The sequence below is a fragment of the Homo sapiens genome, chromosome 5 (genome assembly GCF_000001405.40).
Source record: "Homo sapiens chromosome 5, GRCh38.p14 Primary Assembly".
Taxonomy (NCBI): domain Eukaryota; kingdom Metazoa; phylum Chordata; class Mammalia; order Primates; family Hominidae; genus Homo; species Homo sapiens.
In genome coordinates, this window is record NC_000005.10 from 113,761,634 (window position 1) to 113,777,992 (window position 16,359).

The window sequence follows — 16,359 nt, forward strand, 5'->3', positions numbered from 1 at the left end:
CAGTCTGATTAGTGTCACTTCATAACTAATTGATAGCTTTATTCTAGCCTTTTCACTTTTTGTCTTTGGTTTCTTTGCAGTTTCACCCTGAGGGTTCAGTTTTGGCTGTGTCAATTCTGCTTGAAACCCATTGCAATTTCTAAAACCAAGGTTTTGTCTTTCACCAATTGTGAAAATGTCACAGCTATGATCTCTTTCAGTATTGCCTCTTTCATTTCCTCCATTCTCTCCTTCCCCTTCTCTTATCAGGCATGCATTGGAGCACCTCATTTTGTCCTCTATTCTGCTTAATGTCACTTTCATGGCTTGCATCTCTCTGTCTGTTCCCGCTTCATCCTTGATCATTTTTCTCAAATCTATCTTCTGCTTGTCTCATTTTCTCTTCAGATTTCTAATCTGCTGCTTTACCCACGCATTGTGGTATTCAGTTCCCAAAGTTCTATCTGTTACTTCAACAAATATGTTTGTCCTGTTGTTTAGATGGTGGGAGAGTGTTTTTCCTAATCCACTCTTTTCCCAAGAGTGGGTTCCTTTGGGGAATCCCAACTATGTGTAGAGTCTGTTCCCCTCCCTTGCCTGGCTCAGGACCCAGGCTCATCTCTGATCTCTTCATAGCTGTTAGAATGAAAGTCTCTGTCATTGCCCTCTCATCCTCCATTTCCTCGTCTCACTGAAGTTTCAGCTGCCATTTACCATTTCACTCACAGCAAGAATGCTATATGAAGGTGAAGTCAGTGATTGAGCTGATGCATCCACAAACCAAAGAACAACAAATATTGCCAGCAAAGCACCAGAAGCCTGGAGAGAGGTAAGGAACAAATTCTCTTTCATAGCCTATCTTAGCTCATCTGTACAGCTATAACAAAATGCTGTAGACTGGGTAATTTATAATGAACAGAAATTTATTTCTCATAGTTCTGGAGGCTGGGAAGCCCAAGATCCAGGTGCCAGCAAACTGTCTGGTGAGGTGCATGGTCTCTGTTTGCAAGGTGGTGCCATCTTGCTGTATCCTCCTGAGAGGAGGAACACTGTGTCCTCAAATAGAGGAAGGTAGGTCCAAAGGGCAGAACACCACTTGACACCTCTTTTCTAAGTGTCTTAATCCCATTCATGAGGGAGGAGCCCTCATAACCTAATCACCTCTTAAAGGCTGCACTTCTTACTGCTATTATATTGGCCATTAAGTTTCAACACCTGACATATTCAAATTATAACATGCCCCTTAGAGGGAACCAACGCTGCTAACACTGGGTTTCAGGCTTCTAGTCTCCAGAATTGTGAGAAAACAAATTTCTGTTGTTCTAAGCCACCCAGTTTGTGATTTGTAATGGCAGCTTAGCAAACTAATATAGGTAGGTAGGTAAATAGGAAGAAAGGTAGATAGGAAGATAGGTGGATAGGTAGGTAGAAGTCACCAGCTTTGACTTGCATTAAATACAGTAAAACCATAGTGGCCATTGGTACCAAAAGATATTTTATACAACCTTATTTTCCTTGCTAACATCTGTCTAGTGGTACAGAGTTCAGTCAGGCCCACTGGACATGCAGTTGCAGGCTGGGTGTGGGAGCAGCAGACAATTTCTATTTCCCAAACACTGTTAGAAAATTGTTAATAAAACACCGTGGACTAAGCTCTCATTAGTGCAGTTATTGCTGAGAATGAGCATTCAAGTGCTGTACTTTGGTATGGCTGATGAGCAGAGACAGCCAATATTGCCATGGCAATGGGAGAGGAGTGGTTATGAGGATGAAAACTTACTGTTTCCAAGTAGGTCGACTATCATGAAACTTGAGCTTATAAGGCCAACAGCTTCTGGGTTTGGGAATGCTGCTTTCCTGTTTTGGGGGAATGGGCAGTGTTGGGAATCTATATCTTGTCTGTCTTACAGAAATCTCTAGGGACTCTTTGCAATTTCCAGGGAATTTGGTTGTATCTTCCTTAACCAGAGAACCAACTTGCTGTAGGAAATTAATTAAATAAAAATATTCTTGTATCTGTTTTTCATCTTATTAAGCACTGGAATCCCCAATAATGTGGGCTGAAATTGTCCCAAATCTCATTCATTGCTGACTTTTTCTTATTCCAATTTAATTTTGGCTCAGATTCTGATGTTTTATTCTGTCCCACGGTTATGATGCCTTTCCTGCCCTAGGGCCTGCTGTAGTGTGTGTGTTTTCTGACTTTTTGGCTTGGATGCTTTCAAAGGTTGTGCATCTTTGTCTTATTCTGCTTCAGCATTATTTGTGTAGGATCGCTCACCCTCAGGCACCAAGCCCTGGCTGACCCAGCTGGCCTTGCCCTGTCTTTTATGTAACAATGTGAAAACTGAAGATCCCACTAAACGCCAAGGTAGGATAAACATGAAATTTTAGTGTGGTGCCCAATTACCTTAGAGTGATTCTTCAAGGGAAATGTAAAGAAATGGCTCCATGACCCTTGACTTCCTTACCCACTTCAAAGTTGAGATAATAGAAGAGGGAGGGTTTGCATGGAGGTTTCTTTGGAGAGACCTGTTGCTGTGAATGCCTTTTTTTTTTTTTTCACATTAAGCCCTGTGAGAGTGGTACCCACAGGTGCACTCAGAGAAAGGTAACGTGCAGGCCACTGTATTTAAGAACCACTGTACACTGGGGTAGAGATGGAGCAGGGGCCCTTCTTAGGGGCTTGTGGGAACTCCAAGCATGAAAATGAATAAAAATCTTGAATTTCTTCCAGGGAATTCTGGGCACCTACCTAGTTCTGAGAAGTAAATGACCAACTTCATAAGCAAGAAGGTAATAGTACCTTAAAACAATAGCCAAATAAGTTAGAGTTAGCATATATTTGGCTCCCTATAGAAACTAAAAATAATGGCTTAACATAAGTCTCTGAGTTACTTTTCAGAAATCCAGACCCCCACCATATGGATCTGCCAGTGCATAGACCTCAGATGAGGAACTGAGAACTGGGCTCTGGCCACTGTTCTTTGTTCTAAATTTCTTCCTGAGGTGCCTGAAGTTTCCACCCATGAGCCAGAGCTCACAGTCTTCTGGTGATCCTAAATTTTTAGACAAAGCTTTGCCTCCTTAACCAATAGCAAATCAGAAAATCTTTGAATCCACCTATGACCTGTGGGCCCCTGCTTAGAGATTTCTTGCCTATTTAGGTCAATCCAATGTATAACTTCCATGTATTGATTAATGACTTTGCCTATAACCTCTGCCTCCCTGCCTTTAAAAACTCTTACCTGGTGAGGTAGGGTGGCTCACGCCTGTAATCCTAGCACTTTGGGAGGCTAAGGTGGGAGGATCACTTGAGCCCAGGAGTTAGAGATCAGCCTAGGCAACATAGGGAGTCCCTGTCTATACAAATAATAAAAAAATTAGCCAGGTGTGGTGGCACACACATGTGGTCCCAGCTACTTGTGAGGTTGAAATTGGAGGATCACCTGAGCCCTGGAGGTTGCGGCAGTGATCGCACCACTGCACTCCAGCCTGGGTGACAGAGCAAGACTCTGTCTTAAAAATAAAAAACAACTCTGACCTGTAAGGCATCAGGAAGTTCAGGTCTTAGGCATTAGGTGCCTGATTCTCCTTGCTTGGCACACTGCAATAAATGCCTCACTTCTTTCACTGCAGTCCCAATGTCAGTGTTTGGCTTTGCCTTGCCAAGCAGGCTGACCCAAGTTCAGTTTGGCAACAGTAGGATGCCAGTCTGAGAAATTCTGATGTGGAAATAAGGGCCAGATCAGTGCAGCCTGGGGATCAGTCTGCTCTCAAGAGTTGTCAGGGCAAATGATGTCTGAGTGTGTACTGTGGATGAGATGTGAGCCATGTAGGAGAGGGAACTGGCTTGGCATGTTCTATAGGCCTGCCCAGAAGGGCAGAGGGACCAAAGCAGCAAACCCAGGGAGGAGACATCTGATTATTGGAGGCTAACAAAGAAGTCACAGGGCATGGAAAGGTTAGAATGGTGTGACCAGAAGGAGTGAGGTGCTTGTGATGTGAGTTCTCAAGATGGAATTTTCATAGTCTATTGAAGTTGAGTGAAGGAAAAAAGCATTCTCTAAAATCCTGGGGATTTTAGTTAAAGCTAAAAGGATAAAGTAGAATGGCACACTCTGCCCCTCCTGTCTGCCTTTATCAGCTCAGGCACAGAGCTCAGAGACAGTGGCACCATAGCATCTAGAAGCAGACTTTACTCTTTCCATAAATTTATCCTCCTACATTTTCCTGCTTTTTAGAAGCCTAAAGATACCTCCTTCTTTGTCCTTGTCTCTATAGGATTTATGGATCTTTGTTAAAATATTATTTAAACAAGGCCCCTAAGCTGCTGCCTTGAGAGAGAAATACTTTTGGACTGACACCGGTCCCACATCATGGGTACAGCACATGTTAATAAACTTCTGTTTTTCTTTTGTTAATATGACTTGTTTTCAGGAAAGTGTCTCAACTAAGAACCCAAAAAGGAAATTATGTTTTCTCCCCTGAAACATATTCCATGAATGTGAGAAAGATGTGGTTTAAATATTCACCAAGTCCAGAGAGCACAAGGCTCACTTAGTCAGAACCAGTTCAAGTGAGACCTTCCCCACAACCTTCTGCCAGGGTTGTTGGGAACCCCAGAGGGCTGTCCTGTTTCACTGCTCTGTCTTCCATAGCTTCCTCATGGTGAGGGAGATGTGTTTTCTCCACCCTTCACTAGATTCATGGCTGAGGCCCCATAACAAAAGACAGATTAACAAGAGAAAAGCATACAAATTTAGTACAGGTTTAACGTGACATCGGAGCCTTTAGCAATGAAAATTGAAAAAAAACAGGTAAACTTGTATATTTTTATGCTAGGTTTGATAAAAAGGTTGTGGGGAAGTATGATTGGACAAAGAGGATAAGACCTAATGGTGACAACTTGGGGGATCTTAGCAAATCCTGTCTGCCCAGATTCCTCTTGGCATCTCTGTGTCTTTGAGGGTAAGCATGTTAGTTTCCTTCAGGTATAGGGTAGTGATATGATTCAGCTCTGTGTCCCCACCCAAGTCTTATCTTGAATTGTACTCCCATAATTCCCATGTATTGTGAGAGGGACCCAGTAGGAGATAATTGAATCATGGGGGTGGTTCCCCCATACTGTTCTCATGGTAGATAATAAGTCTCATGAGATCTGATGGTTTTACCAGGGGTTTCCGCTTTTGCATCTTCCTCATTCTCTTTGCCTGCTGCCATCCATGTAAGACAGGACTTGCTCCTGCTTGCCTTCTGCCATGATTGTGAGGCTTCCCCAGCCACATGGAACTGTAAGTCCAATTAAATCTCTTTCTTTCATAAATTGCCCAGTTTTGGGTATGTTTTTATCAGCAGCGTGAAAATGGACTAATACAGTAAATTAGTACCAGAAGTGGGGTGCTGTTGCTGAAAAGATACCCGAAAAGGTGGAAGTGACTTTAGAACTGGGTAACAGGCAGAGATTGGAACAGTTTGGAGGGCTCAGAAAAAGATAGGAAAATGTGGGAAAGTTTTGAACTTCCTAGAGGCTTGTTGAATGCCTTTGACAGAAATGCTCATAGTAATATGAACAATAAGGTCCAGGATGAGGTGGTCTCAAATGGAAATGAGGACCTTATTGGGAGCAAAGGAGACTCTTGTTATGTTTTAGCAAAGAGACTGGCAGCATTTTTGCCCCTGCCATAGAGATTTGTGGAACTTTGTACTTGAGAGAGATGATTTAGGGTATCTGGCAAAAGAAATTTCTAAGGAGCAAAACATTCAAGAGGTGACTTGGGTGCTGTTAACAGCATTCGGTTTTAAAAGGGAAACAGAGCATAAAGGTTTAAAAAAGTTGAAGCCTGATAACATGATGGAAAAGAAAATCCCATTTTCTGAGGAGAAATTTAAGCCAGCTGCAGAAATTTGCATAGGTAATGAGGAACCAAATGTTAATCACCAAGGAAATGGGGAAAATGTCTCTAGGGCATGTCAGAGGTCTTCATGGCAGCCCCTCTCATCACAGGCCTGACCGTGGTTTTGTGGGCCAGGCCCAGGATCCCTGAGATGTGTGCAGCCTAGGGGCTTGGTGCCCTGCATCTGAGCCACTCCAGCTGTGGCTGAAAGGGGCCAATGTAGAGCTCAGGCTGTGGCTTCAGATGGTGCAAGCCCCAAACCTTGGCAGCTTCCAGGTGGTGTTCAGCCTGCCAGTGAACAGAAGTCAAGAATTGAGGTTTGGGAACCTCTGCCTAGATTTCAGATGTATGGAAATGCCTGGATGCCCAGGCGTAAGTTTGCTCCAGGGGTGGGGCTCTCATGGAGAACCTCAGCTAGGGCAGTGCAGAAGGGAAATGTGGGGCCAGAGCCCCCAAATGGAGTCCCTGCTGGGGCACCGCCTAGTGGAGCTGTGAGAAGAGGGACACCATCCTCCAGACCCCAGAATGGTAATGGTAGATCCACCAACAGCTTGCACTGTGCACCTGGAAAAGCCACAGACACTAAACACCAGCCCATTAAAGCAGCTGGGAAGGAGGCTGTACCCTGTAAAGCCACAGGGGCGGAGCTGCCTAAGGCCATGGGAACCCACCTCTTCAATCAGCGTGACCTGGATGTGAGACATGGAGTCAAAGGAGATCATTTTGGAGCTTTAAGATTTGACTGCCATGCTGGATTTTGGACTTGCCTGGGCCCTGTAGCCCCTTTGTTTTGGTCAATTTCTCCCACGTGGAATGGTATTTAGCTAATGCCTGTACCCCCATTGTATCTAGGAATAAACTATCTTGCTTTTGATTTTACAGGGTCATAGGCAGAAGGGACTTGACTTGTCTCAGATGAGACTTTGGACTGTGGACATTTGAGTTAATGCTAAAATGAGTTAAGACTTTGGGGGACTGTTGGGAAGGCACGATTGGTTTTGAACTATGAGGACATAAGATTTGGCAGGGGCTAGGGGTGGAATGATATGGTTTGGCCCTGTGTCCTCACCAAAATCTCATCTTGAATTGTACTCCCATAATTTCCACGTGTTGTGAGAAGGACCCAGTGGGAGATAATTGAATCATGGGGGCAGTTTCTTCTGTACTGTTTTCCTGGTAGTGAATAAGTCTCGAGATCTGATGATTTTATCAGGGGTTTCCACTTTTGTGTCTTCCTCATTCTCTCTTTGCCTGCTGCCATCCATGTAAGACGTGACTTGCTCCTCTGCCTTCTGCCATGATTGTGAGGCTTCCTCAGCCACATGGAACTTTAAGTCCAATTAAATCTCTTTCTTTCATAAATTGGCCAGTCTTGGGTATGCCTTTATTAGCAGTGTGAAAATGAACTAATATAGGTAGGCACATCTCACATGAGGTTTTTATGGCCTACTTGAGAGGAAGGTCAGAAAACTGTTTTATGACCTGCTTTAGGGGAAGAGGGAAGGGAAAGGTCATAGAGTGACTTTCCTGGGTTTTGCTATTTTTTCAAATGCCAAAGTGCCATATTTTGTGCTTGTGTGTCCTGAAACCCATCATGACCTTAAAGAAACAGTCAATCTGCTTCATCAAGAAATAAGGCAGGGTATGTTCATCAAATATAAGGTGAGGTATATTCTCAAACTACTTCTTACTAAAAGGAAAATGACTTTATAGTCAAGCCTAGACAACAGTTTTTATTATAGGGCATTCTCTTTATTGTTTTATTGGTTTAGAAAAGACAATTTGTGAGGGTAGGTAAGTTTATGCTGTGATAACAAATTAATCTCAAAGTTGCTGTGCCTTAATATAACTTTTTCTTACTCATATTACGTGTCCCTCATGGGTTGGCAGACTGCAGTTCCATACAGGAATTCAAGACAATAGAGGCTCCACCATCTTGTAGTTGCAGCAAGTGGAATATGTGCCAATGATACTAGAAACTTGCATGTGGACTTTTCCCTACCTTAGCTAGGAAGAGACACAATCATTGACTCCCAAGTTTTATTGATTTGAACTCCTCACTGAACCTCATCTAATTGCAAGGGGACTGGGCATGGTGGCTCACACCTGTAATCCCTACAGTTTGGGAGGCCAAGATGAGCAGATGGCTTGAGCCCAGGAGTTTGAGACCAGCCTTGGCAACATGGTGAAACCCTGTCTCTACAAAAAGACACAAATTAGCCAGGCATGGTGGTGCGTGCCTATAGTCCCAACTACTTGGGAGGTTGAGGCAGGAGGATCACCTGAGCCCAGGGAGGTCGAGGTCACAGTGAGCTGTGATCATGCCACTGCACTCCAGCCTGGGCAACAGAGTGAGACCTTGTCTCGAAGTAAAAAAAAATGCAAGGGGGCTGGGAAGTGTAGGAAAAGAAATGTATTTGTTGAGCATTATACTCTCTGCCACAACACATTATCCCAATATCACCTTAGTTAATGTTAATTTGTAACATGTAATACTGATCAGTGGGCAGAATTGTTTTTAAAAAGGGGAAATAATATATTTTACACAATTTAGTGAGAGATTTTTGTAAACAAAAGTTTTAAAGATCACTTAAAAAGCGATATAATGAGTGGTTACATTTATTTTCAACCATACACTGAGGATAAATTTTAAAATCACTTTCTTAATATTATACAGGTACATAAGACCTGAGATAAAGTATCCATTGTCAGCATCATACATAGATAGATTCAGAAAGATATCTCTCTTCCAACAACTAATGCAGAAGTGAAAGTGTTGTACTCTAGAAAATATGAGCCTAGAAAAAAAGCAGCACTTCTAAATTAACTTCATTCTATATATTTTTAAGTTTATAAAGCAAACTAATTATAAGTACATAGTTGTAATTATAAGTACATAGTTGACTACTTTACCAATAATTCTAAAGTTCATAAATGGAAGTTATCCTTAAGAAACTTGTTAAACTCTTCTCATAAGATAAAAGGTAAATATTGTCTTGAATTTGTGCTTGCATGGTTTATAAAATGAATGAAAGAGACTATAAAAGAGACTTGGAACAAATTGATTTCAGGTAACAGCAAAACGTATTTAAGCATTCTAGAATCTGCTTAAGTTCACCTGAAAAAAGTAAGGTTATGAGATGAGCTTATATTCTGAACCACACAATCCCGTATTGGCTGTACACTGTCTTGAGTTTTTGCTCCTGCTGCTCTTTAGATTGCCAAGTCCTGCCCCCATAAAATGATCATAAACACATAGGCAGGAGTCAGGCTTCATCTAGTTCAATTGTCTTTTAACCCCCAGGAGCCCTAGCCCTAGCACTGTCCTGAGTGTCGAGCAAGCCCTATTCTATTAACAATTCTGAGGTATTTGCAGTGGTTGCTACTGACAATTTGACAAAAGCCTGGGCAGCCTCAGCCATTTTGGATAATGAATAAATTCCTAAATAGGTAGTCAAATTGATTGCCCATTAATTTAAAAATGCCAAAGTGGCACATATTTTTATTATCCTTCTCTTCTCCCGTCTCCTCTCACATTTATCTTCACATATATCATGCATTTTAAATATTTTTAAATATTTGTCCTCCTGAGTAACTTTTCTTAAAAGTCAGAAAGAAGGGAATATTTTCAATGATGACTTAGCAAGTTTTGTTTTTAAATTGTGAGGTACAGAAAAAGATCCAAGTATGTTTTAAAATAAAAATAAAACTATGTGATTTCTCTGACTAAGCAAGATAAATCACATTTCATGCAAATCATCCTGTTCATGTGAACAAAAAGCCCCTTTTTATTTATCAATTTTTAAAATTTACCAACAAATCTATGCTTGTTTCATTTGAATAATTTGTAAAAAGCTTATTTAGAAGCATGTAAGTGTCACTGGTAGAGGGTCAGGACTGCAAGTTGTCCAGGTTCTTGGCATTTTGAACAAAGAATTGGACAAAACGCTCAGCAAAGCAAAGAAAGAATGAAGCAACGAAAGAACTAAAGCAGGGATTTATTGAAAACAAAAGTACACTCCACAGTGTGGGAGCAGGCCCAAGCAGTGGCTCAAGGGCCTTTTGGAAACCCCCAAAAGTTTCCCATTGACCACTTCATGCTCACCTCATGTAAATGAAGTGGTAGCCTGCAATCAGTCTGATTGGTTGCAGAAAGCAGACAACCAGAGGCTGAAGTGAAGTTACAAAGGTCACACTCTTGTGCAAACATCTGATTGGTTGCAAAAACCAACCAAGCAGAGGCTAGGGTGAAGTTACAGGGTTATACTTCTATGCAAATGAAGACTCGGCCCACAATCAGTCTGATTGGTTGCAGACAGCCAGTTTCCCATCTGCAGTGCAGAAAAGGTCAAAGGGAGTAGCCTCTGGTCCTTTTGTTACTTAAGCCTGGAAAGTTAGTATTTTCCTTTCAGTTCAGTTCTAGGAAGTCAGCGTGAAATACCTTAGGTTCCCTGCCTCCAGACCATATTATCCTGCCTCATCATTCCCTTGAGAGACATGATCCCCATAAATCTTTATGGGATACAGAGGGACTGAAGGTCTTTCTTCTTTAACTGCTTCATGCTGACTTGGGGCATAGTCCCTACCTGTTGGAGATCCCGGAACTCTCAGCCCACTCTGTCTAGTGGAGACAGGGTGCTTCTTGATGGCGGTGGGGTGGTGCCTTCACCTGGAGCTGGCTGGAAACCTTGTTGCTTGATTATCTGAAGCTTGATGGTCTCTAGGCAAAAGGAAATGAATTCGGTTAAAAGATTTAATGGGAATTTTGGGAGTGGATGCCTATGCTGTCAGGAATGTTTGTTATAGAAATAAAAAATTCTGCTTAATTACTATAAAGGAAATGATTCCATCCATTTGGAAGAAGGCAATTAAACTGCAAAAATAAAAAATGGCTACTATTATCCAGCCTACAGTAACTATGCAACAAAGACACCAAAGAAAGTTGGTAGGCATTTACTTATCTTTTGGCTGTCTTCTAAACAGGTACTTCAGGTCTTCCACAGGTTCACAGGTGTAGTGGCTGATGGGAACTTCAGGTTCCTGATCTGGGGCTTCTGGTATCCCTGGCTTGATCCTTGACAGATGTATCCAACTATCTAATCCTACTACTTTGACCATGGAAGATATGGCCAGTGTTACTGAAAATGGTCCCTTCCATTTGGGTTGTAATTGTTGAGCAGGTGATCCCTCCTTCCACCTTTTAACAAGTAACTTATCTCCTGGCCTGATTTTGGGTTGCTGGTTAGTTCCCAGTGTGGGGATCCTTTGAATTCCAAACTTTTGTAAAGCCTGTTGAAATTGTCCTAGGTTGACTAGGTATTTTACTAAACCTGCTGTTCCTGGGTCAGTAATTAAATCAGTAGTTAAGAATGGCCTTCCATATAACATTTTGAAAGTGCTTATATTAATTTTTGCTCTAGGGGTATTACGGATCCTTAAGAGGGCTATGGGCAGTAAGCTGACCCAAGTTTCTGATGTTTCCTGACATAGTTTAGCTAATGCTAATTTTAGAGCTTGTTAGCCGTTTCTACTATCTCGGAGGATTGAGGCCTCCATGCTGAATTCAAATAGTATTTTATTCCAAGAGCCTTAGCAACCTGTTGAGTTATCTGGGAGATAAAGGATGGGCCATTATCACTTTGGAGACTCTGAGGTAACCCAAACCGGGGGATTGTTTCTTTTTTTTTTTTTTAATTATTATTATACTTTAAGTTTTAGGATGCATGTGCACTACGTGCAGGTTTGTTACATATGTATACATGTGCCATGTTGGTGTGCTGCACCCATTAACTTGTCATTTAGCATTAGGTATATCTCCTAAAGCTATCCCACCCCCCTCCCCCCACCCCACCACAGTCCCTGGTGTGTGATGTTCCCCTTCCTGTGTCCATGTGTTATCATTGTTCAATTCCCACCTATGAGTGAGAACAAGGGATTATTTATTTTAAGAGAAACTTTATAACCTCATTAGACTTCTCCATTCTGGGAGGATAAGCTTTGACCCAACCAGTAAAGGTATCTATTAGCACTAACAAAAACTTATGTCCTCTGTAAGCTGGCATATGTGTAAAGTCTAATTGCCAGTCTTCCCCTAGATAAGTTCCTCTCCTCTGCACTGGTTGTATTAGAGGAGGTATTTTGTTTCCTGGGTTAAGTGCACATAGTGAGCAGGCTTGGCAGACCTGCTTAGCCACTGAAGCTAGGTTAGACCTGGTAAGGAGCTTATTTACATGGCCAGAGTTGCATCCCTCCCCACATGGAAAGAGACATGCAGGGCTTTTCTAACTTTCCACTGGACTGTCTGAGGGAGATGTATTTTCGACTCCATATACCACCAGGATCCTTGGTTTTATCCCCTTGGTTCCTTTATTAGCTGTTCTTCCTGTACTCAGGTTCTATTGGGGAACCATAGAAAGGGAGCACTGCTAGGATCTGTTGGGATTGCACTCTGAAGGCTGCAGCTTTGTCTTCTCTGTTGGCCTTGCTGTTCCCTTGTGCTATAGGGGTTAAGTTGCTTTGATGCCCCCTACAGTGAATTATAGCCACAGGCTTTGGCAGGTGTATTGCTTCTAATAGCTGAAGAATTTCAAGCCCATGCTTTATAAGGGAGTGTTTGCTAGTTAGTAGTTCCATTTCCAGATTGTAGCATAAGCCTGAACCACAAGGAATGCATATTTAGAATCTGTATAGATGTTAAGCTTTTTTCTTTGTCCCAACATTAATGCTCAAGCGAGAGCAATAATTTCAGCCTTTGTGCTGATGTGCCAGGGGGCAGTGGCTGGGCTTTGATAATTGTGTTATGATTTAATACTGCATGTCCAGCTTCATGCTCCCCATTTGACACAAAACTATTTCCATCTGTGAACCAGTCATCCTCAGAATCTGGAAGAGGCTGGTCTTTTAAATCAGGCTGGCTAACATATGTGTGTGCAATGACCTGCTCACAGGAATGATCAGTTACTGGGGCTGTGGGCAGCAATGAAGCTGGATTCAGAGTGTTACAGGTTTTAAGGGTTACGTCTGGATTGTCTAGGAGCATGGTCTGGTATTTGGTTAACCTTTTCCCCAGTATCCAGATGGGTCCCTTTATCTCTAAGACTGACTTTACCTGATGGGGGATTAGAACTTCCAGTGGTTGGCCCAGGGTGATTTTAGTGGCTTCCTCCATTAACATAGCAGTGGCTGCTATTGCCCACAGGCAACTTGGCCACCCCGAGGCCACTCTATCCAACTTATTTAAAAGTAGGCAGTTGTTCTGGGTTCTGAACCTAATTTCTGGTCTAACACTGCCACGGCTATGCCCCTTTTCTCTGCTATATACAAGGAGAAGGGCTTAGTTAGGTCTGGGATGCCATAAGTGGAAGCTGGGTAAGAGCCTGTTTTAAGTTAGCAAAGGCTTCTCTCATTTTTGAGGTCCATTCCATTAGGTCATTTTCAGGCCCCCTTGTTGCTTCACACAGGGGCTTTGCTATGATCCCAAAATGTGGTGCCCATATTCTTGAAAACCTGGCCATTCCCCAGAAAAGAAGGAAGCTACTGCTGGGTGTGGGGGTGCCCCCAGACCACTATGGCTTGTACTTGTTCTGGGGATATTTGCCGGGCTCTGGGTGTTAAGACATACCCTAAATATTGGACCCATTTGAGGATAATCTGCACCTTGTTTTTGGACACTTTGTATCCCCTGTCTACCACAAAATTCAAAGTTTTTATAGTATTTTGGTCAGAAACATACTGGGTTGGGCTACACACAAGAAGGTCATCCACATACTGAAGTATACTCCCATTCCCCGTTTACAGGTCCCTCAGATCCCTCTCTAAGGTCTAGGCAAAGAAATAGGGCCTATCCCGAAAACCTTGAAGGAGCACTGTCCAAGTGTATTGTTGTTTTTTTCCTGGTATTAGGATTTTCCTGTTCAAAGGCAAAAATGTATTGGGACTCTGGGGCCAGAGAAATGGAGAAAAAAGCATCTTTCAGGCCTTGAACTGAGAACCATTTTGCATCCTGTGGTACTTGAGCCAGGAGGGTATATGGATCTGCCACTAATAGGTGGATAGGGATGACAGCCTCATTTATTACTCCGAGGCCCTGAACTAACCGGTATTCCCCTGAAGGCTTTAGAACAGATAAGATGGGGATATTGCAGGGAGAATTACAGATTTAGAACAGATAAGATGAGGATATTGCAGGGGATTTTAAGAGCCCATGGGTAAGTATTACCTCAACTATGGGTGCTAGGCCTTTTCTAGCTTCCTGCCTAATAGGGTATTGTTTTCTATTGGGAAAATAGCTGGGGTTTTTAAGCTGTATTTTGACTGGCACTGCTGTTCTATCCTTCCCCAATTTTCCAGTATACCATGCCCAGCGGGTTAACCTGTTTATTAATGTGGTCTGGGACATTTCCAAGCAGGGAATCAGGTGGAATAGGTGAAGGGTTGTCTACAGTGGAATCAGGTGGAATAGATTGAGAATTGCCCACAGTGGTCTAGTAAAGAGACTTTGAACAGTGGAGGGCTCACTAGGTGACCCAAATTTTACCCAGAGAATTCCCCTGGAAAAATTCTGGGCCCAGACTAGGGTCCCTGGGGGCATCCCCCTTTAGGGCTGCAACTTAGTCTGTTGGATGTCGCCAACCTTAGATGGGTGCCAGCACCTCTTTGGAATGGTTTTCTCCACCACTGAGGACTTACTGTGAACTTTTCTTAAGGTTTTTCCATCCCACTTAAAGCAACTCTTTGACTCTCTCAACTTAGGCAATAATAATCCCCACCCCCCATGCACCACACAGACCACCTACGACATGCCCAGGCCATCTGACTTGTATAACCTTTTTGCATAGCGAGGTGGGTTTTCTTTCCTTAGCTAGTAGAGTGGGGGAAGGGAAGAATTTAGCATAAGAAAAGAAGGGGTTTAAGTCACCTGAAACGTGTGTGAATTCGCCCTGGATGAGCTGCCACATCCAACTGTGTCACACGTAGAGTTCTGGGAGTATAACCAGAAAGGATAGAAAAGAGTCTTTTCCCCTTCCAGGCAGGGCATCTATCCCTGTTTGCTTCTTGGTCTTCAGAGAATGCCAAAGAGCGGTCCTGGTCAGTTTCCCTCAATTACCAGGAGCTACTAGGAAACTGTTGCTGAAAGACTGAAAACGGAGAAAAGGAAAAAAAATCTCAGAAAAAGGGAAAAAGAAATAGGACTCAGAAAAATGAAAATAAGAAAAAGGACTCAGATCCCTCACCTGAACTGGGCGGTGGCGGTCAGGTGCTTCCATGTGGAAACCTTTCAGTTTCACTAGATAGTGACCCTGGGCAGAAACTTGCATGAAGTCTCCATGCTTAGGTGCTGTCCACCAAGGGCACTGAGTTGGAAAGGAAGAGAGAGAGAGAAAGATTTACAAGGGGAAAGGAGAAAAATCCCAAACTTTGGGCCTACTTTTCCTCCTGGCTGGCTTGCCAAGGTATGTCACTGATAGAGGGTTGTGACTGCAAGTTGTCCAGGTTCTTGGCATTTTGAACAAAGAACTGGGCAAAACGCCCAGCAAAGCAAAGAAAGAATGAAGCAACAAAAGAACCAAAGCAGGGATTTATTGAAAACGAAAGTACACTCCACAGTGTGGGAGCTGGCCGGAGAGGTGGCTCAAGGGTCCAGTTACAGAATCTTCTTGGGTCCAAATACCCCCTAGAAGTTTCCCATTGGCCACTTCATGCTCACCTCATGTAAATGAAGTTGTAGCCCGCAATCAGTCTGATTGTTTGCAGAAAGCAGCCAACTGGAGGCTGAAGTGAAGTTACAAATGTCACACTCTTGTGCAAACATCTGATTGGTTGCAAAAAGCAACCAATCAGAGGCTAGGGTGAAGTTACAACATTATACTTCTATGCAAATGAAGACTCAGCCTGCAATCAGTCTGATTGGTTGTGGACAGCAACCATTCAGAGGCTGGAGTGAAGTTACAAAGTTGCAAACGAATACTCAACCTGCAATCAGTCTGATTTGTTGCCAACAGTCAATTTCCCATCTGCAGTGCAGAAAAGGGGAGGAGTTTGCAAAGGGAGTAACCTCTGTTCCTTTTGTTACTTAGGCGTGGAAAGTTAGGGTTTCCTTTCAATTTAGTTCTAGGAAGTCAGTGTGAAACAGCCTTGGGTTCCCTGCCTCTAGATCCTATCCTCCTGCCTCATAAGGATGACCTCAAAAGAAAGAGACAGAGGGCTGGGTGCAGTGGCTCATATCTGTAATCCCAGCACTTTGGGAGGCCAAGGAGGGAGGATTGCTTGAGCGCAGGCGTTTGAGACTGGCCTGGGCAGCATAGTGAGACCTCGTCTCTACTAAAAAATCAAAAAAATTAGTTGGACATGGTGCTGCATGCCTGTGGTGGGAAGATAGCTTGAACTTGGAAGATCGAGGTTATAGTGAGGTATAATCACACCACTGCACTCCAGCCTGGGGGACAGAGTGAGACCCTATCTCAGGAAATAAAAAAAAAAGCAA

General features: G+C 43.0%; 1 long non-coding RNA gene across 1 annotated transcript in view, besides 1 other annotated feature; it reads right to left on the reverse strand.

The window, feature by feature from the left end:
• The window catches only part of LOC105379127 (uncharacterized), a 37,837-nt gene extending 22,162 nt beyond the window's left edge, over positions 1 to 15,675 (reverse strand). The window contains exons 1-4 of the long non-coding RNA XR_948680.3: positions 15,583 to 15,675; positions 15,110 to 15,229; positions 14,794 to 15,013; positions 10,463 to 10,596 (exon numbers count right to left, since the gene is read on the reverse strand). This is a non-coding gene — a long non-coding RNA (uncharacterized LOC105379127). The remainder of the gene's footprint in view (positions 1 to 10,462; positions 10,597 to 14,793; positions 15,014 to 15,109; positions 15,230 to 15,582) is intronic.
• Positions 14,476 to 15,069: an enhancer, noted in NCBI's record as "OCT4-NANOG hESC enhancer chr5:113111806-113112399 (GRCh37/hg19 assembly coordinates)". NCBI's record gives its function as "activates a minimal SCP1, AML or CMV promoter by ChIP-STARR-seq in naive H9 embryonic stem cells {active_cell/tissue: H9 hESC(naive)}" and the evidence as "EXISTENCE:reporter gene assay evidence [ECO:0000049][PMID:30033119]".
• Positions 15,676 to 16,359: the final 684 nt, after the last annotated feature.